This window comes from Homo sapiens, chromosome 4 (assembly GCF_000001405.40).
Source record: "Homo sapiens chromosome 4, GRCh38.p14 Primary Assembly".
NCBI lineage: Eukaryota > Metazoa > Chordata > Mammalia > Primates > Hominidae > Homo > Homo sapiens.
In genome coordinates, this window is record NC_000004.12 from 76,117,812 (window position 1) to 76,140,718 (window position 22,907).

General features: G+C 36.5%; 1 protein-coding gene across 10 annotated transcripts in view; it reads right to left on the bottom strand.

Moving 5' to 3' along the window:
* NUP54 (nucleoporin 54) overlaps window positions 1-22,907 on the bottom strand; it is a 33,734-nt gene that overhangs the window by 3,148 nt on the left and 7,679 nt on the right. For 4 of the 10 annotated variants that reach the window (NM_001278603.2, NM_017426.4, XM_047415785.1 and 1 more), the window contains 7 exons: window positions 18,375-18,601; window positions 16,364-16,551; window positions 14,712-14,908; window positions 13,419-13,473; window positions 12,845-12,938; window positions 6,838-6,945; window positions 264-383 (listed from right to left, as the gene is read on the bottom strand). In NM_001278603.2, the coding sequence (NP_001265532.1) occupies window positions 264-383; window positions 6,838-6,945; window positions 12,845-12,938; window positions 13,419-13,473; window positions 14,712-14,908; window positions 16,364-16,551; window positions 18,375-18,601 (989 nt within the window). Of the gene's footprint in view, window positions 1-263; window positions 384-6,837; window positions 6,946-12,844; window positions 12,939-13,418; window positions 13,474-14,711; window positions 14,909-16,363; window positions 16,552-18,374; window positions 18,602-22,907 lie in introns of those variants that run through there. The other 6 variants (XM_047415783.1, XM_011532033.4, NR_103780.2 and 3 more) reach the window with 5 other exon arrangements.

The window sequence follows — 22,907 nt, forward strand, 5'->3', positions numbered from 1 at the left end:
GAAGACTTGTAAAAGACAATGTTTTCTTCTGAAAGGATGGTTTCAAAACCATCTATTAAAAATTTCTATTTCTCTCTCTGTACATTATATTCGAAACACTAATACTAGCCAAAAGAACCATGACTGAGTTTACTTTAGAAAGGAAGTTCTAATTGGAGATAAGAAACACAAGTATACAAAATTCCTGCTTGAAGATTACATAACTTTTTGTCTGCAGATCCACCTGAAACAAATTTTAGAATTATGGTCTTAGAAGTGGTTACCTTGAACTGAGTAGGTGCATTTAGTTCACCCTGAATCGTATCCAGCTGAACTCGCAACTGCTCTTCATCAGCCTGAATGGCATAACCACTCTTCCTTTGAATTTCCTGTTTGATTAGGACCTATACAAATAAAAACCACCAATAACAACAGAATCATCTCTTTTTAGTTATGCAAGTAGTAGTAGTACAATTAGTTACTGAAAGAAATCAGCTGAAAATCAAACAACAGTAGGGTTCAACAGTTCAGGATTTGAATTATGTTTCTGTCCATTTTAACTAGGCAAAAGTTATCATATAAATACAATGATATAGACTTAATTGTTTTTTTTGAGACAGGGTCTTGCTCTGTCTCCCAGGCTGAAGTGCAGTGGCGTAAACACAGCTCACTCCTTGACCTCTGTGGCTCAAGTGATCCTCCTGCCTCAGCTCCTGAGTAGCTGGGACCACAGGTGTGCACCACCGCACCTGGTTACATTTTTTAATTTTTTTGTGGCGGGGTGGGGGGGGGGGTCTCACTATGTGGCCCAGGCTGGTCTTGAACTCCTGGGCTTAATTAAGTGATCCTCTAGCCTTGGCCTCCCAGAGTGCTGGGTTTACAGGTGTGAGCCACTTTGCCAAGCCAACAATTTTAAAACTATGGTATGGCTTGGCCGGGCGCGGTGGCTCACACCTGTAATCCCAGCACTTTGGGAGGACAAGGCGGGTGGATCAAGAGGTCAGGAGATTGAGACCATCCTGGCTAACATGATGAAACCCCGTCTCTACTAAAAATACAAAAAATTAGCCGGACGTTGATGGTGCACGCCTGTAGTCCCAGCTACTCGGGAGGCTGAGGCAGGAGAATGGCGGAAAACCCGGGAGGCAGAGCTTGCAGTGAGCCTAGATCGCGCCACTGCACTCCAGCCTGGGCAACAGAGCGAGACTCTGTCTCAAAAAACAGACAAACAAAAACTATGGTATGGCTTAAAAGCAGTACAAAAAAATAGACAACATAATACCAGTTTCAGACATTTACTCACAGCCTTTCCAAATAAAGTGTTCTTTAAAGATGAGTTTATAATATTTAGGTCTAAAAATTATTTCTTGGATTTTTTTTGAGATTACAAAAGCAAAATGTACTTGTTAAGAAACAATACGAGAATGTAAAAGACAAATTTTCTCTCATACCCCCAAGACAAATAGTGCTAACTGATGTTTATTCCCCTGTACCTTTCTCCTTGCTCATCATACAGAGAGAGCACACACACACAGATCCAAAATAAAACTAAACTGTATATATCACTCTGTGACATGGTTCCTTTTTTTGGTTGTTGTTTTTGTTTTTCTGAGACGACCTTGCTTTCTTGCCCAGGCTGGAGGGCAGCTCAATGCAGCATCGATCTCCTAGGCTCAAGCAATCCTCCCACCTCAGCCTCCCAAGTAGCTGGAATTACAGGTGCTCACCACCATGCCTGGCTAATTTTTTTTCTTTTTTTTTTTTTTTAGTAGAGATGAGGTCTCCCGATGTTGCCCAGGCTGGTCTCAAACTCCTAAACTCAAATGATCCTTCTGCCTCGGCCTCTTAAAGTGCTGGGATTACAGGCGTGGGCCACTGTGCCAGGCTGCTTCTCTTTCTTTCCAATTTAACAATGCATCGGGGGAAAGGGTCTAAAGCAGTGGCCTCTAAAGGCAGACTCTTGGTTTGCTGCTACTCTCCAAGCCCAGCTTACTCTGTTAAAAACAGTGCAAATCCTTCCATACTCTCATCCATGCTCCTATAACCATATCTTTTTCATAAACACACACATAGACCGACTGCTTTTTACTCATCTAAGTTTTTAAAAATGGATTATATAAAATTAACAAAATTTTATTATCAATATTAACCATTAAATTTTATAATTAAAATAATTTTATTATCAAAATCTCATGAAATGCCTTAAGAAGTATAGCTCTAATTTGTTATTTTTAATGGCTGTATGCTTTTTAAATGTTATTAACCAATAATCAATAATTATTGTCTTGATGGATATACATTTTGTTTTCACACTACAATGCCATAATAAACATTTTTGTAGCTTTGACTCTATAAACAATGCTGTAATAAATTTTGTAGCTTTGACACTACAATGCTATAATAAACATTTTGGTGCATATATCTATTTAACTGGTATAGATCTTTAACAATGAGGCTGAGTTTTAAAGTATGTACGTTTTCAGTTCTAAAGCTGCTAGATTGCTTTTTCAAAATATCCTAATGATTTAGATTCATAGGCCACACATCAGAATACCCTTTCCCCACATTCCTGTCAAGAACAGGTGGTGGTGGTTTAAATTTTTCCCAACCGCATGAGTGTAAAGGGATCTCTTTTTTTTTTTTTTTTTTTTTTTCCCCAGATGGAGTTGCACTCTGTCACCCAAGCTGGAGTGCAGTGCCGTGATCTTGGCTCACGGCAACCTCCACCTCCCAGGTTCAAGCAATTCTCTGCCTCAGCCTCCCAAGTAGCTGGGATTACAGGCACCTGCCACCATGCCCAGCTAATTTTTGTATTTTTAGTAGAGTCGGGGTTTCACCATCTTCGCCAGGCTGGTCTTGAACTCCTGACCTCGTGATCCACCCGCCTCGGCCTCCCAGAGTGCTGGGATTACAGGCGTGAGCCACTGCGCCCGGCCAGGATCTCATTTTTTTTCTTTAATCTGCAATTCCCAGATTCCTAGTAAATTAAAGGGACCATCTTTTAATGACTAAGAACTATTTTGCATTTGCTTTTTCTATGAACTGCCTTTACACATCTTTTGCCCAAATTTCAATTGGGTTTTACTGTCAAATTATAGGATCTCTTTGTATAATATGAATATGAACACTAAATCTAAAATGAATGCTGTTTGCAAAATTTCCTTTTCCTAAACTCTATCACATGACTATTGACAAATGGCTTCTGGTATCTTTTGCTACACAATTTTTTATGTGGCCAATGTTGGTTTATAGTTTCTAGCTTTTTGATCAATGTCTCTCAAATCCCAGGCTGTACATACAGCTTTGAAAGTTTCTTAAAGTCTTTAGTCCACTTTATTTTTATACAATGCAATGGTCTAATTTTCTTTTCTTCCTTATGGATAGTTATACTCCAGCATTATTTATTAAATAAACCCACTGAATTGAAATACCACCTTTCTCATATATTAAATTTTCAGCACACTTGCATCTATTTGTAAATTCCCTACTCTGTTCCATGCATTGTTCTGTCCAATCCCATGCAGACACTATATTGATTCAATTATAAGAGGTTTAAAATAGGTTCTGAAATCTGGTAAAGAAGTCCCCTTCACTATTTCTTTTTTGTTCCTGAACAAGCTAGTCTCAAACACTTATCCTTCTTTATAAACTTAAAGAAATTTTAATCAAAATTTTTTTAGAGACAGGGTCTCCCTATGTTGCCCAGGCAACAGAGTGCAGTGGCTATTCATAGGCACAATCATAGCTCACTAGAGCCTCAAACTCCTGGGCTCAGGTGCTTCTCCTGCCTCAGCCTTCTGAGTAGCTGTGACTATAGGTGCCATGTCATCACACCCAGCTTAATCTATTTTTAAAAAGCTGTAATTCATTTTTAATTTTGTAAAGTGGGTATTAAGTATTCTCATCTAAGAATATAGTTTATCTATTTGTAAATACCTATACTTTCCTCAGAAATATATTCCTATTTTACAGTTTTGTCACCATAGTGAATGGAACATTTTCCTATTTCCAGATAGTAAAAAGGAAAGTTGATTTTTGTACTTTTATATCTAGCCAGCTTACTACATTAATTCTATGGTTTATTCCCTTGGGTTTTCCAGATATACAATCATATCAGCAAAAATAGATCACTTAATCATCTTCCCAATGTTTATATTATTTCTTTGCTTGTTTTATTTATGAAAACCTCCAAGATAGCAACAAATAATGATGATAATATTGGGTGTCCGTTGTCTAGTTTCTAAATGCGATTTTAGTGTTTTGCCTTTTGGAGTATTTGCTATTCATTTTTGGTTACAGTTTCTATTATATATTTTCCTTTAATGTGTTGCTATAATAAGTCATGTTGATAGATGTCCTGTTATTAAAACCAACCTTGCATTCCTGAAATAAACTTTACTTGGTCATAGTATATTTTTTAAGAAATTGATAAATAGCTGGATTCTCTTTGCTTATACTTCATTTAGAATGTGGTTTTTTGGTCCGATTTGAGGTATACTCTACATATGACAATTCACCTGTTTTAGGTGTTCAGTTCTATGAATCTGGCAAATACATACAGTCGTGTAACCACCACAGTGATTAAGATACAGAATATTTCCATCACCCCAAGCCCCTTGTAGTCACACTTCTCTCTTCATCTACAGTCCCTGGCAACTACTAATCTGTTATCTGTCCCTAATTTTCTTTTGTATAATGTTATATAAATAGAATCATGCCTTACACAGCCTTTAAGTCTGGCTTTTTTCACTTAGCATAATTTGCATCTCTTTAAAATAGCTGTTTATAATTTCTTTTTTTGAGATGCTACAAACAGAAATGTAAAATGGTACAGTTGCTTTGGAAAACAGTTTACGTAGTTCCTCAAAAAGTTAAACATAGTGTGCATATGACACAGCAATTTCACTCCTAGGTTTATACCCAAGAGAAATAGAAGTATATGTCCAAACAAACACTTGTAAATAAATTTTAATAGCAATATTATTCATAATAGCCAAAAAGGAGAACCACCAAAATGTCCATCAATTGAGTAAAATGTGGTATAGCCATATGATGGAATATTCAGCAATAAATGAATAATAATCATTTATTAGTACCTGAAGTACTATTACATGGTACAACACAGTTGAACTTTGAAAACATTATGCTAAGTAAAAGCCAGTCACAAAAGACCATATATCGTTATGATTCCATTTATATGAGGTTTCCAGAACAGGCAAACCCATATAGGCAAAACTGGTTGCATAGGACTGACAGATTTGCAGTGAAACGGGGAAGTGACTGACAATGGGTACGGGATTTGTCTGTAGGGTGACAGAAATGTTCTAAAATTGATTGTGGTAATAACGGTTATACAAGTCTCTGAATATACTAAAAGCCATTGAATTGTACACTTTAAATGAGTAAATAGTATGGTATGCAAATTATCTTAAGCTGTGAAAAAAGAACAAATGAAGCTGTATAAATTATTCCTCAATTGTCTAGAATAATCAAAATAACACTGGATTAGCTCTTTTGTGGTTAGACAAAATTTGGCAATGAAACTATCTGTCCCTAAGGCCTTTTTCATGTTTCATCTTTCATTTTTCCAACTGTTTCTGTGGTATTTGTTTTCTTACTTCTCTGTAGATTTTGGTAATTTTCATTTTCATAGAAAAATCAAAATAAAACTTCCTCTGAGTTCCAAATCTGTTACCCTAAAGTACATGCAGCATCTTCTTTTTTTTTTCTCCTTTTTTCTGAGATGGAGTCTTGCTCTGTAGCCTAGGCTGGAGTGCAGTGGCGTGATCTCGGCTCACTGCAACCTCCGCCTCCCAGGTTCAAGCAATTCTCGTGCCTCAGCCTCCCAAGTAACTGGAACTACAGGCACAAGCAACCATGCCTGGCTGATTTTTTTGTATTTTAGTAGAGATGGGGTTTCACCGTGTTGCCCAGGCTGGTCTTGAACTCCTGAGCTCAGGCAATCCACTCACCTCGGCCTCCCAAAGTTCTAGGATTACAAGAGTGAGACACTGTGCCCGGCCCATGCAGTATCTTCTTATTCTGTTTTGTATATCTACGGTGATGCCTCTTTTCCCACTACTAATTTTGTATATTTTACTCTGTTTTTCCCTTCTTCCAGCTGATGAGATGCTTAGTAATTTTAACGGTCTTTTCAAAGAAACAGTTTTTTAATTTATTCTTTCCACTATTACATTTTTTAGTCTTTCACTAATTTCACATTTATCTTTCTTTCTTTTTAGTTTCTTTTGGCTTATCTTGATATTCCTTTTCTAATTTAACATGAGTACTAAGTTCCTTTATTTTTCACATTTGATTTTTTTAAATGAGAATTTTTTATGGCTGTAAGTTTTCCTCTGAGTACAGATTTTGCTGTTTCCCACTGGTTCTGGTATGTAATATTTCTGTTTTCATGATAGTTTATAATTTCAGTTGTTATTATTCTTTTAATTCCTCCTGTTAATTTGGAAATTCTATTGTTTTTCGACCATTATGGTTACACTCCTTTTTCTAGCACTCAAAAAATTTTCTGAACTATTTTATGAAACTATTTTATGAAATTTATGAGACATCAATAATCTCACAGAAGCTTCCCTTGCACTAAGATGCTTTATTTCTTCACTGCTTTCCCTCAAACTGTCACTAAAATACGAACTTTAGGATATTTTTATTCTCCTCACTCAAACCTATGAGACTTGTTTTCCAATTTCAAAGTTTTACTGAAAGAATTCGGTACTTGTAATTTCACATTATTCTTTCATTTTAGTATTTTTTTTTCTATTTTAAAAATCTATATTTAGTACATTATTTCACACACATAGTCTTATAAACACTGGGGGGGAAAATCCAAATTACTACCTGTAAAGTTCTATGGGAAAGATCCATGAGTTTCCTCTTGTATTGTGCAATTTTGGCTACAGATGTAGTTTGATTCTTTTGTAGCTCACTAATATCTTCAGATATGATCTGTTTAAAAAAAAATTGGGGGGGGGAGGGTTAATCAAATATCACAACTATTTATCAGTTACACCTGTATGGAAATTCTAATCTTGGGATAAGCCTGAGATTCATCTCTCAAAATATAAACTCTTTCCCTATAAATCTGTGCTTTATATTTCTTCCCTTTTTACATACCTAAAATTTTTTTAAAAGAATCATGCAAAGATATCTTTAGAGCTCTAGGAAATTTAGCAATGAGGCAATACATAGAAAAAATAAGCTGGGCGTGGTGGCTCACACCTGTAATCCCACCACTTTGGGAGGACGAGGCAGGCAAATTACTTAAGGTCAGGAGTTCAAGACCAGCCTGGCCAACATAGTGAAACCCCGTCTCTACTAAAAATACAAAGAAGTAGCTGGGTGTGGTGGCATGCACCTGTAATCCCAGCTACTTGGAAGGCTGATGCAGGAGAATCACTTAAACCTGGGGGATGGAGCCGAGATCGTGCCACTGCACTCCAGCCTGGGCAACAGAGTGAAACTCCATCTCACAGAAACAAAAAACAAAAAACAGAGTGAGACTCCATCACACACACACACACACACACACACACACACACACGGCTGGGCACAGTGGGTCACTCCTGTAATCCTAGCACTTTGGGAGGCCAAGGCAAGAGGAGTGCTTGAGACCAGGATTTTGAGACAAGCTTGGGCAAAATGGCAAGACCTTGTCTCTACAAAAAATATAAAAAATTAACCAGGTGTAGTGCTACATGCCTGTAATCCCAGCTCCTTAGGAGGCTGAGGTGGGAGGATCACTTGAGCCCAGGAGTTTGAGGTTGCAGTGAGCCGTGATCATGCCACTGCACTCCAGCATGGGCAAGAGGGAGAGGGAGAGGGGGAGAGGGGGAGAGGGGGAGAGGGAGAGAGGGGGAGAGAGGGAGAGAGGGAGAGGGAGAGAGGGAGAAGAGGGAGAAGAGGGAGAGAGGGGGAGAGAGAGGGAGAAGAGGGAGAGAGGGGGAGAGGGGGAGAGGGGGAGAGAGGGAGAGAGGGGGAGAGAGGGAGAGGGAGAGAGAGGGAGAAGAGGGAGAAAGGGGGAGAGAGGGAGAGAGGGAGAGAGGGGGAGGGGGAGGGAGAGAGAGAGACAGAGAGAGAGGGAGAGACCTATCTCAAAAGGAAAAAAAGAAAACACATACTTCAGAAATAATTAAGGAATCTGAAGTAACATGGAATACAGCCAACAACCAGGTCTGAGTGGAAAAAGTTAAGATGTGTAAGATGATATCTAGGGGGTGTCTTAATAGACAATTAGCCCTGTATCTAACTACTGACAGCAAGTACAGTACATTTCAACATTAACTGTTACAGAATACTTGGAGGGAGTAATCAGAGTGCAGAGGAAAAGGAATGATATTAATTATGCAGCAGGATACATTTTTATGCCTCTGGATCTTTGACTTGCTGTTTTACCTGACTGAAATCCCACTATTCTGCCTTAGGAAGTCTTAACCTTACAGGGTAGGTTAAAATCTCACTATTTTATTAAAGCATCCCAATCAGAATTAATCCCATAATTGTCTCTATCATAATTAATCATTCTATGCCACTGGCTTACATTTACATGTTACAAGAAAGAGGTTAAGATTGTGCAAGACATATTTTAGCACATCCACCTGCACACATCACCTTTTACAGAAACTTTCCAATGCCAGGCCATGCTGAAAGGACAAAATTAGGTGGCCATGTTTTATATTACAAAACCTAGGCAATCTCCCCATCCCAATTTTGAAAAATCACCAGGGTTTTTAGATACAAGAGTACTTACAACATTATTTTCTACCAGTAATAACTAAAAAAATTAGACATGTTATCAGCCACAGTATTTATTAACAAATACTAAAACCATCTAGGAATTGATCCAAGAAAGCCATCTAGGAATTGATCCAAGAAAGAACGCATGAGATTTTAAAAGGGAATATTTTAAAATTATTTTAAAGGACATAAAAGACTGCAAGGATTAAAGAGACATACCACATTCATGGATGAAATGATTTAATATTAAAATTCAATTCCCACAAATTAGTCTTTGCATTTAATGCAATTCCAACCATAATTCTAGCATTCTGACAAATTGATTCTAAAGTTTTTATGGAAGAATAAAGACCCATAAAGACCCAGAAAACTTTGAAAAGAAGAACCAAGATTAGAGATTCATGCTACTAGATATTAAGATACACTACAAAGCCATAAGACTAAAAAAATGTGGAATGGGTGGGTATAAGAACAGACCAACTGGCCAATGAAACATAAGAGAGGGTCTAGAAATAGATCACATATATATATGCAAACAGTGTAATTTAAATTCTTTGATAATCATTGAGGAATATCATATTTTTATAGGCAATATTAAAAATATAGGGCTGGGCGCAGTGGCTCACGCCTGTAATCCCAGCACTTTGGGAGGCCAAGACGGGTGGATCACGAGGTCAGGAGATCGAGACCATCCTGGCTAACACGGTGAAACCCCATTTCTACTAAAAATACAAAAAATTAGCCAGGCGTGGTGGTGGGCGCCTGTAGTCCTAGCTACTTGGGAGGCTGAGGCAGAACAATGGCGTGAACCCAGGAGGCGGAGCTTGCAGTGAGCCGAGATTGCGCCACTGCACTCCAGCCTGGGCGACAGAACGAGACCCCCATCTCAAAAAAAAAAAAAAAAAAAAAATGGACCCACTATTTAGAGAAAAATAAATCTGAGTTCATACCACATACTTTATATAAAGGTAAACTTCATGATGACAACAAAAGACTCAAACGTGAAAGGTTAAACTCTAAATTTTTTTTAATGTAGGATACTCTCAGACTTTGGGGTGAAAAATTATTTAAGCAAATTCCCAAAAAGAAAATACAAGGCAAACATTTAATGGATATCATTACATTAAAATTAAGGATTTCTCTTCAACTACAGACACCAAAGACAGAATTAACAAAGAGATGAGAAACTAGAAGATATTTACAACGTTATAAACAGAGACTACAATCTAGAGTAAATGATTACTGAAGTTCAATAAAGAAAAAATAGGAAGCCCAGTGGAAACACTGGCCAAAGATATGAATGATTTCAGTTCTGGACAAGATGGACTAAGCATATACAACCCCAATCTCTCCCATTTAATATAGCTATAAAACTTGGATGGAATACACGGGGCAGCTATTTGGGAACTCTGGCAGGAAGATCAGGTAAGATAGGAATTTAAAGTACCAATAAACTTGTGGTGAGTTTACCCATTTTTCCCCTCAGGCGTCCCTAGTCTGGTTTCAACCCAGCCTCAAACCTGGAAATGAGCATAAATGCTGAAAGGGAGCTCCAAGGGAAGTCTGCTAGTTATAGTGGGAGGAGATACATCGTATTACCTAGAGAAAGGTTTCTCAACTTCAGCACTATTAATCTTGGGTAATTCCTTGTTGTGGGAGTACTGTTCTGTACACTGCAGAATGTGTGCAGCATCTGGGCCTCTACACATTAGACGCCTGTAGTACTCCCCAACCAAGAGTCTCCAGACATTGCCAAATGTGCTCTGGGAGACAAAATCACCACCACCACCACAAGCCACTACTAAGAAGTACTGCTCTAAGACTTGAAATAATAGATTAAAAGGAAATGCTGAAAAAAAAAAAAAAGTCCAAATAACTCAAAAGAAAGCAGAAAAGTAGAAACAGGAATGAAAAACAGAGGCTACAAACACAAAACAAATAAATGGTAGGACTAAATCCAAACTTTTTGCTGTCTACAAGAATCTCGCTTCAAATATAACAATATAGGTAGGTTAAAAGCAAAAAGATGGACAAAGGTATGCCATACAAACACTTTTTATCAAAAGAAAGGTAGCGTGGCTATGTTAACACCAGACAAAGACTTCTGAGTGTCTTGAGTAAGTGTCCATGAACAGATGAATGGATAAAGAAAACATGGTGTGTATGTGTACACATATATACACACACAATAGAATACTATTTAATCATGAAAAAGAATGAAGTGCTACCATTTGCAGCAACATAGATGAACTTGGAAGACATTTTGTTAAGTGAAATAAGCCACGTGCAGAAAGATAAATTCTGCATGTTCTCACTCATATGTGGAAGCTAAAAAAAGTTGATTTAGTAGAAGAAAAGAGTAGAATAGTGGCTACTAGAGGTGGAGAAAGAGTAGGAGTAGGGAACTGCCAAAGGTTGCTTAACAGATACAAAAGTACAGCTGGATAGGAGGATTAAGTTCCAGTGTTCTATAGCACTATAGGTAACTATAATTCACAACCATTTATTGTGTTTCAAATAGCTATAGGAGTGAATTTCCCATGATACCAACAAATGATAAATGTATGGGGTAATGGATATGCTAATTACTTTATTTGATCATTACACACTATATCCATGTATTGAATTATCACACTATGCCCCATAAATATGTAGTTATGTATCGATTAAAAACAATAAAAGAAAAGGCCATTAGAGAAGATTTAAAACTTACCGAGGATTAAGAGGGATATGATATAATAATAAAAGGTAAATTTGCCAAGAAAACACAACAATCCTATATAACAACAGCCCTTCAAACTATTAATACATGAAGCAAAAACTGAGAAATGAAAGGAGAAAAACACAAATCCGTAAGTGTTGCTGTAGATTTCAAATCTCTTCTCAAACTAGCAGACAGAAAAAACAACAAGAATACAGAACTGAGCAATACTATCAACCAACTGGATCTCACTGACATTAATAGAAAACTTCACCCAAGGACTGCAGAATACACATTATTTTCATAGGCTCCTGGGTTATAAAACCTCAGCAAAGTTGGCCGGGCGCAGTGGCTCACGCCTGTAACCCTAGCACTTTCGGGAGGCCGAGATGGGTGGATCACGAGGTCAGGAGATCGAGACCATCCTGGTTAACACGGTGAAACCCCGTCTCTACTAAAAATACAAAAAATTAGCCGGGCGTGGTGGCAGGCGCCTGTAGTCCCAGCTACTCCGGAGGCTGAGGAAGGAGAATGGCGTGAACTCAGGAGGTGGAGCTTGCAGCGAGCCTAGATCGCGCCACTGTGCTCCAGCCTGGGCGACAGAGCGAGAGACGTCTCAAAAAAAAAAAAAAAAAAAAAAAAACCTTAGCAAAGTTAAAAGAATTGAAATCATAGAAATTTCTCTGACCTTTAAGAATCTTTAAGTATTTAATTATGAAAGTTTTTTTTTTTTTTTTTTTTTTTTTTTTTTTTTTTGAGGAGTCTCACTCTGTCGCCCAGGCTGGAGTGCAGTGGCACGATTTCTGTTCACTGCAACCTCTGCCTCCCGGGTTCAAACAATTCTCATGCCTCAGCCTCCCAAGTTGCTGGCATTACAGGCGTGCACCACGACACCCAGCTAATTTTTGAATTTTTTAGTACAGACCAGGTTTTGCCAAGTCGGCCAGGCTTGTCTTGAACTCCTGATCTCAAGTGATCCACCCACCCTGGTCTCCTAAAAAAGTCTACTTTATGAAATAAAATATTAAGTATATTTAAGCATTAATTTTATCAACATACAATAATATACCAAGACAATTATATGTCAACATAAAATAATCATTACTATAACCTTCATTTTCATAAGGCCCCATAAATAATAATATGCAATCCCTGGCTGAAACTGGAAATGACAGTCTAATTAATCCACTAAGACAAGAATTCTAAATTCATTATTATATCAAATCAGATTCATGTGATTTGGGGACTTCTATCATAAAGAAGGTAGTTGTATAAAACTATTAAATTGCAGTGTATGCTACATTGTTTCCTGATTAAGATAAAACAGTAGCACATATACTAAAAAGAATTAAATGTCTATAATCCCTTTCCCTACTTCCAGGGCCAGGGAATAAAAAGCTAAATGCTTACATCTAATCTGGTTTGATGCTGCTTAGTCATCTGATCTTGAACCTTCAGTCTTCGGAGAAGTTCCTTAAAACCCACCATTGGTACAGGAATTAACCTGAAGAAACGCAGTGAACAATTTTCAGACCTTAAGCCTATTACTACAAAATACAAGAAGTGAAGGTTTTAGTAACACTCATGTAATTTTACATCAACTTTCTAGGGCTCTAAGGCAGATCTATGACTATGAGATAACCATGTTATACCAAAGAGATTTTATTCAACCTCCCTATTTTACAAATGAGGAAATACAGTTCAGTCAAAACATTACATTATTAAATGAAAACGCAAATAGAATTTTCCGCTCCTAGTTAGTTCTCACTATGCTATGCTGCCTTACCATAATCTTTTTTTTTCTTATTTTTTTCTTTTTGTTTTGGCTGAAGCTTTAGCTGGACAATAATCAATATTTTTTAAAGGCCAGGAAAATGAAAATAAACTTGTCTCATATGTAAGAATTATAATTAATAGCTCCCATGTTTGCTTTCCTAGTAGCAAATATTAGTTCTTAAATGAAACAAGATGAAGACATACTTACTTTTCAGAATCAGGGTTATCTACCTTGGCCTGTTCCCAGATAATAGGATCAACACCTACCACAAATAAAAAATATTTTTTCTAAAACAATTTTCTATTTTTATAATATGTGTATGACAAAGGCTTTCCTAAAGCAAGACCCTATACCTAGAAGCTATAATGAAAAGTGACTGTCAAATATAATCATGGTAAAAATACAAATTTTTGCAGAATAAATAAAGTTCAAAAAAAGCACAGATTGAAAGGAACTATCTATAACCTATAGGATAATAGATTAACCTCCAGAATATAGAAAGAGTTCCTATACATCAAAAAGGAAGACAAAAAAATCTAGAAAATGGGCAAAGGACACAAATAGGTAACTCACAAAAAATATAAATGTAGCTAATAAACATATTAAAAATAAGTATTAATTTTTAAATTAATTATTTTGCCATCAGTGGCCAGAAAAAATAACATTCCTGTTATGAATATAAACGGTAGAACTTTCCCTGGAGGGCAATTTGGCAATATCTAACATACATAATATTGACTCAAAAATTTCATTACCAGAGATCTATTCTAAAGAAATATATACCAATGTGTTCTAAGACATGTTTACAAGGATATTGTTAATTACTGTACAGTTTATAATAGTAAAAAGAAAACAACTTAGAGGTGTTAAGTAAAGGTGTATCCATGGAATACTATGCAATGTTTAAATACAGTAAGATTTATCTTCATGTATTGACATGAAAAGTGCTAAGGAATACTGTAAAAAGGCAAGCTGAAGGTGTATATGGAGAATCCTTTTTTAAAAGATCTACATGTAAATATGCTTACATTTCAAATCACAGATAAAGGATTAAACATAGTACCATAAATTGACAGTAGTTACTTCCGGGGAAAGGAACTAAAGGTAATCTATCACATAGTCAATCTAGTTATGCCATCCAGAATATTTTACAGTTAGAATACATTCAGGTTTTACTTGAATATTCAGTTAAAATGAGATAAGCTAGAAAAAAATAAGCCAAAATTTTACTAGTAAATTACCTTTGGGTAGATGGATTATGGACTATTTTTCTTCAGTTCACTATTTCTCAAAATTTCTATTTTAACATATACATATTAGCTATATAATAAAAAACTAAATGAATACAAATATTCAAAACTATTTCCCAAATAAGTAGATATATGACAAGATGATACTAATTTTATTAGCATTAATAACCAACCAACACCTCTGAAATACGGGGAGTGTTTAGTTCTAAATCTTTCTTTTTTTTTGAACTCTGTGATTCTAGAAACATACCAGCAGGAGGATTCTGTAAAAGCTGTTTGATCTGTGCAGGAGAAAGTTCTGTTCTAGTCATAGAAAGGGTTACACCAAGTTGCTGCAATTGTGTTTTTATATTGGCTTGTTCAAAATGGGCATATAGCGTTGTAGCTGGAACTCTTCTTGAAGTACCATTTGGCGAACGCTCAACAACATAAATAACAACTTCTGTCCTGAAGGAAGAATAACCAATTTATAAAATATGGAGCACAAAACTCATAGCGACAAACCTCAGCATATCATAGCATGTGATTTCAGAAGGGTTTAAGTTGAATTCAGAAATGGTTGTTTTAGGAGGCAATTAAAATGTTTCCTTTTTTTTTTTTTTTGAGCAAGGTTTGCTCTGTTGCCCAGGCTGGAGTGCAGTGGTATCATCACTGCAGCCTCAATGTCCCAGGCTTAAGCAATTCTCCCACCTCAGCCTCCAAGTAACTGAGAGTACAGCTGCACACCCGCTACGTTTAGCTTACATGTATGTGTGTCTATACATAAATATATATGATATATATATATATATATTTTTAAATTTTTTTGAGAGACGGACACTCGCTATGTTGCCTAGGCTAGTCTCAAACTCCTGGTCTCAAGCAATCCTCCCACCTTGACCTCCCAAAGTTCTGGGATTACAGGTATGATGAGCTGCTGTGCCCAACTGTTTTCTTCTTAAATCTTGGAAAATAAGAAAGTTTTACTTCATGTAATGTTCATTTACAAATCAACCTAAATGATAAAGTTAAAAAGAACCAGGTAAATAAGATAGTATTTGTTTTTTTTTTTGAGACGGAGTCTCTCTCTGTCCCTCAGGCTGGAGTTCAGTGGCTCAATCTTGGCTCACTGCAAGCTCCGCCTCCTGGGTTCATGCCACTCTCCTGCCTCAGCCTCCCTCGTAGCTGGGACTACAGGCACCTGCCACCACGCCCGGCTGATTTTTTTTGTATTTTTAGTAGAGACAGGGTTTCACCGTGTCAGCCAGGATGGCCTCGATCTCCTGACCTCATGATCCGCCCGTCTCGGCCTCCCAAAGTGCTGGGATTACAGGCGTGAGCCACCGTGCCCGGCCAATAAGATAATATTTATAAAAGGGTTTGCTTAGTTGCAAAATCCTATGTAAATGTTATTTACTATAGGAAATTCTGTTGAAATTTATGGGCTGCTTCTCTGCAATTACAACCACAAGTAAAATCTGTTCAATTATTGCATCTCATTAATAATCATTCCTCCAAATATCCTAAAATAAATGTCTTGCCACTAACACTGAGAATTATACTTAGGTCAAGGGAAGTAAAGCAATAATATTTATTCATGAATGAACATGAACAGTAATGAGTTAATAACATTTTCCAATAACATCTTTATGGCCCTCAATTTGCACGCATCTATGACAAATGGTCCCTTCCTGGCCTGAATGAAAATCTAGAAAATTATTAGCATCTAGTAAGTTAAAAAATCCAAAATTTTAAAAAAACTTTTAAATAAATGTTTTTATCAATACTGAATAATCACTAGCTGAGAAAAGGCATTCTGCTCTGAGAGTTAATTTGTGCTTTAGCAACAAAAACATTATTGATCACTCCCTTAGGACCAGAAATAAATACACAGAAATAAACAGTATATTTATGTATACTTACTGATCATCTGGCAATGTTTTAGTGCCCTCTACATTTACAGTAAGGGTCTGGTTTCCTCCCAAAACTTTATGCAATGATTCTACCAACTGTTGTTGTTGGCTTCGAATCTCTGTTTCTTTTTTGTTGAAAACTAAAACCACTAGCCCATCTTCATCTTTATTACTGGGCATGCAACTATAACCTACTGCCTGTGGAATGACAAAATAAACAATATAAAAAATATGTACAGATCTTAAATCAGGTGTTTAATATTAATAGCTTAATATCTGCTAAAATGGGAAAAACAACTTAATGTCTGGTAATTAAGGGAATAATGATTCTTCCCACCATTTTGTGCCCTAGGAGGTCACAAAATTATAAAGAAAAACTATTTTACCCAGGAATAACATTAACCTATAGAGTAAGATTAACATTTCCTCTTTGAGAGAGTAACTAAACAGCTTTCTCCCCTAAAAAATTTTGATATTCATTATTGTTGGTTGTTTCTGAACCATCTGCATGTCATTATAAAAGTGACTGCAAAAATCACCAACTAATTATAATTTATTTCACTATACAGATTCTCAACTTATGATTTTTCCATTTTATAGGGTGTGAAAGCAATACGCATTCATATATACATACATGTAAACCATACATGGAATTCTGATCTTTTAGTTTTTATTATAAAATTATTATTATTATAAGATGGACTTGATGTTAGATTATTCTGCCCAATTGTACACTAATGTAAGTGTTCTGAGCATGTTTAAAGTAGGCTAGGCTAGGCTATGATGCTTGGTAGGTTAGGTGTATTAAATGCATTTCTGAATTACAATATTTTCAATTATGATGGGTTTATTGGGATGTAACCCATAATAAGTTGAGGAGTATCTGTATATCTGATTCATGGAATCTTAAACTAAGTTTTAAATATATAAAGAAGTAATTTACAAATAAATACTTTTAAATCACAGTAATGACAGTCAACTTACAAATACTATAAAGAATGTCTGTATCACTTTATTGGTTTATATAATACAAAACTTTATGAAACAGGGTTGTTGTTTTTTTACATATTAATATGACCAATTATACTTTTCTAAATAATTGCTCTTTTAGATAGAAGCCTTTTATCCCTTTTCACCACTCACCTGCAACTTTTAAAAAAGAATTTAAATTAACTCAAGTGTACATTATGCATTTTACCATGTTATACACCAACTTTATTGTTATATTCAACTTATGTCTATTATTGAATACCTCTTAGCGACTAAATACATGTATCAAAATTTCAACTATATGCACTCAATATACTTTTTGTTAGTGATGACACAAAGAGATGTTCTGTAATAAGACAGGCTGACCACTTTATTCAAGGATCTGATCCTCAGCCTTACAGCTCCAAACACAGGGTTATGTACATATTGATTAGGTTTAAGAGACCAACGTAGGCCAATATAACTCCTAAGAGGCTGAGGTATAAACTGGATTGCAATACGTAATTTGTTATGGAAAATGCATTACCAAATGGACCTAAATACTCTCACTGGCTGATAAAGAGATTTTCTGAAGAGACAAATGAGAAGGTTGTTTGGTAGGCAGGGAATAAGAACACAGAAAATGGGCAATATTGTTTTAATAGCTTTGGGGTTATACATGCCAAGGGGAATTTCTGTCTGCTGGTTAGGGTATACTCTCCTGGCCAATGTTAAATGAATACCACTAAATTGTAGTTTGGTGTCTCCCCTTTACAGGTGCCAGGCAAACCATTCTCCTGTTTACATTTTTTTTCTTCAGTTATAAATCACATTCCAGTCACACCTTCCTTCATTCATATTCTGGTCACCTTCAACCACACATATGTATGAAATCACTTCAATTTTATAATTTCTATATTTTCAAAATAAAAGTATAATCATACCATGTTCAAGGAGTAAAGATCCAAGCAATTGTTATCTTGATATTAATCTAAATATATTTTCTGTTATACAAAATCTTCAACTGAAGATAAAAATAGTATTAATAATACCTTAAATCGGCAAAAGGGATTTTCTTGTGTGAATTCCACTGGCGGAATATTATTGTTGAAATACCCTTTTCCTGTTCCCCAAAAGGCCTGCAGTTGATTCCATTTTGCCAAAATAGCATCTCTCTCATCTCCCAACAGCGTTGGAGCAGAAAGAGCACTCGCAGTATTTATCAGCTGGTTGGACTGGGTAGGAGCTTGTGTAGGCTGACTGAAGAGACCACCTAATGCTAAAAATGTACCCAAAATTAGTATTTAAAAACAAAACAAAACAAAACTTAATCCAGATCCTAGGCGTGGTAGGCAAAATAATGGCCCCCTCCAAGATGCCCATATCCTAATCTACAGAACCTATAAATATGTTATCTTACATAGCAAAAGGGCCTTTGTAGATGTGATTAAATTAAGCATGCTGAGATAGAGGGTTATCCTGGATTATCAGGAGGGACTCAACGTAATCATAAGATCCTCAAAAGTGGAAGAGTGCGCTCAGAGTCAAACAGATCTGAAGATGCTATGCTGTTGGCATATGGCAAGATGGAAGAGCCGCGAGCCAAGAAATGCAGGAAGACTCTAAAAACTGGAAAATGCAAGAGAATGGATTCTCCCTTAGTGCCTCTAGAAGTAACGCAGTACTGCCAGGACCTTCATTTTAGCACAGTGAAACCCACTTCTGGACTTCTAATCTCCAGAAACTATAAAATAATAAAATTTTATTGTCTTAAGCCACTAAGTTTGTGGTAATTTGGTATGGCAGCAATAGGAAACTAACACACTAGGCCAAACCTTATAACGTTAAATTTGTTTTTCTAATAATATTTTTTTGAGACAGGGTCTTACTTTGTTGCCTAGACTGGAGTGCAGTGGCAAGATCATGGCTCACTGCAGCCTCAACCTTCTGGGCTCAAGCAATACCCCTGCTTCATCATCCTGAGTCGCTGGGACTACAGGAGTGCACCAATGTGCACCTGGTTAATTTTTTAAAATTATTTTTTGTAGAGACAGGGTCTTACTATGTTTCCCATGCTGGTCTCAAAACTTCTGAGCTCAAGCGACTCTCCTGCCTCAGCTTCCCAAAGTGCTGGGATTATAGGCATGAGCAACTGTGCCCAGCCCTAATGATGTTATCCAAATTAATTCCATTACCAGAACACAGATTGGGTCCACAATATTAAACCTACACATGAAAGAATGGAGGGAGGGAGGAAGGGATGCATGTGGATAAAAAAAAGTTTGTAAAGATGTAGGATTTTTTAAAATAACCTTTATTGCTGTTATATTTATATAATAAATACAAATTGGGGGATACAAAGTCTAAAAATCATTGTTATATCAAATACCAGCTTACTAAACATTTTCCTTTCTCTCATTATTAAAAAATATATATAGTAATAACAAATGGATTAACCATCAGTATTCTAGGCTAAAACTTTAGATGGCTGTGTAACTTTGGGCAAATCAACCTCTCTGGGATACCAATTTCTCTAATGGAAAGAAGGGCCAAGTTCTTAGGGCAGATAAATATGCCCCAAAGTGTGAGATAAGTATGTCATCTTTCAACAAAGCGAGGAGCAAGTCTAAGGCTCAGAGCTTAAGGCAAAGTTATCTACCTAGAATTTATTTACACTATATTTTCTTTGTACTTAATTTCAATTACCTTTTCCTTAGAGCAAATGATACTAATTTTCCACTTATAGCAGCAATAAATTTTACTTTAAAATAACTGTATTTCGTGTTTCAAAGTAAACTGATTTAAAGAAAATTCTTAAATAGTAATACAAATGGTATGTAGATGAGGAGAAAACGTGAATACCAAAATGACCTGAGTTTTAAAACACTGTATTAGATATTGTTTAAGTTCTCTTTCAGCTCTAAACATTGAAAGTACCACAAGGTCCATGGAGCTTCTACAGAGCTAGAGAGAGGCTCTTTTACTCTCCAGAAAAGTATTAATTCCCAAATTAGTATATATAAACATTGGCAAGAACTGGACTAGAACTCAGAACACTTGAATCCTGGTTTATTATAAGGTCGCTTTCTATCCTTGAGCAAGAAATTCCTGGGCTTTATCTTCCTCAACTTTTACATGAGATGAATCAACTGTGATCTCTATACCGAGACATATGCAGTCAGCCTCCCATGCTGTTGATTATTCCTTTGGCCCCCAAAGAAAATCTTCACCTTCTGTTGAATACACATCCTCCTTGAAAGCCCTTCTCCCTTAAATTTCCTGACAACACAGTCTCTCTTGGTTTTTTATAAACACATTCATTCATTCATTCACCATTAATTCATACAACAAATATTTACTGAGTACCTACTAAGTGCTCAGAGCCAAATACTAAAGATACAGTGGTAAACAAGGTAGACAAGGTGCATTAAACAAACTGAACACATCAAACAAATATTAACAATTGTGATAAGTCCTTCAGAGAAGTACAGAGGTTCTGGGAGTACTAAATAAGGGAGCTGATCAAGCCTGAGAGAGGGGTCAAGAGAAGACAGTTCCATTAGCACTTCAGTTAGGGCCTAAAGGAAGGAGTCAGCTAAGCCATGGGGTAGAGGTAAAGGCCAACAGTATGTGTAACATCTCTGTAGAGACAGAGAGAGGAAGATGAGTGGACAAAAGCAATAAGGAGGACTAACAATGAGGTAGGAAAAAACTAGACTGGAGTGTCACAGAAGTTAAGGTCTCCCACTGGCCAAATGCAACAACTGAAACATATTTATTAAAGCCCATGCATTCAAAATGGTAATTTTATAAAGTAAAGATCAAATTTTTTTTAAATCCTAACTCCTTGGATACCATTAGAAATAATGAGACCGCCAACTCCTTTTTACAAAAATTGTCCATTAAAAAGAAAAAAAATTATCTTGCCTTTACTATACAAACTGTACATCAGGGTGATCAAGCAGTCTTGGAGGATGAAGAAAAAGTTCCTTTTACAGAAGAAATTTCAGTGTGATAGGGAGGAAATTAGAAAATCACCATTTTGCAACTCCTAATAAGATAACTGATTGAGGCAATGATCATCAAGGAATGAAACCATTAGGTTAAAGTAGTAAGATAAAGATACGCTGTCACCATCTGAACCTACTGATCAATCTTAGCATCACCAAAAGTGAGATAGCCTCTCAACGTGACGTGATATGAAGCACACAGCACCACTTGCAAAATGTTCTTACCAAAAAAGCAAACGTCAAGTCCCTAAAGCAAACTTTATTTACCACAATTATGAGAGATAAAGTTAAATAATATTACAAGGAAGCAGAAGAAAAATACAGAATGGGGGGCATTTAACAAGACAACTGGAAAATTCATGAGGGAAAAAACAGAATGGGGAATTCTCTACACTAAAAAGAACTTAAGGGACATGACAAGAAAATGAATGTGTGGTCCTTGTTTGGATCATGATTCAAACAAACCAAATAAGAAAACGCTTTTGAGACAAATAGGGAACTCTGGTTATAGATGGGGTATTAGATAGTACCAAGGAATTATTGTGGGTTGGAATGAGGTACACATTTTTAAAGAGAGAAGTATAGTAAAGTAAGCATGAAATGACACGCTTGGGATTTGCTCTCAAATACATCAGTGATTTAAAAAAAGGAAAAAGGAGATGGACAATAACAAGTTCTGACTTTTGATGACTCCAGCTGGTAGGGTTCACATCACTTCTTTTTTTCTTTGTTAGCATTTTTCATAAAGAACAGTAAGTGTTCACTGGATTTACTGAGATGATTAATGACCTTAACTTATTTGATAAAATAAAGAAAACAGAAACCAGATTGGCGAATAGTTTGTAAAGGGGAGGAGAGTGGTAGCTGAAGTGAAATGTGGGATTAAAGTAGTTTTGTTGTTGTTGTTATTACTGTTTCAAGAAAAAATAAACTTTGAGTTACTTAAATGTGGATGAGAAGGTGAAGACTGGGGAACGGAGTACAGCTAGAATAATCAACAGCACATGCGCCCTGAAAAGGCAGGAGGTTATAAGATCCTGAGTCAGGTAAAAAGAGGAAAAGGTGGATAGAGGGAGAAAAAAAATAGATTTGGTGGAGGGAAGTTGAAGGAATTGCAATAAGGGATTTTATTTTCTCTTTGGTTTTTTTTTTTTTTTTTTGAGACAGAGTCTTGCTCTGTCACCCAGGCTGGAGTCCAGTGGTGCGATCTCAGCTCACTGCAACCTCTGCCTATGGGGTTCAAGCAATTCTCATGTCTCAGCCTCCCGAGTAACTGGGACTACAGGTGTGCACTACCACGCCCATCTAATTTTTGTATTTTTAGTGGAGATGGGTTTCACCATGTTGGCCAGGCTGGTCTCTGACCTCAGGTGATCCGCCCACCTCAGCCTCCCAAAGTGCTGGGATTACAGATGTGAGCCACTGCGCTCAGCCCTTTTTTGTCTTGGAAGTAGCAGTCAAGGCCATCTGCTAAAAGTAAGAACAGATAAATTTGAGATTTGAAGAGAATAAAGGTTTAAAATTACTGCTATAGAAAGCAGGAGAATAAGTTGAAAGTAGAAATTTCACAGGATT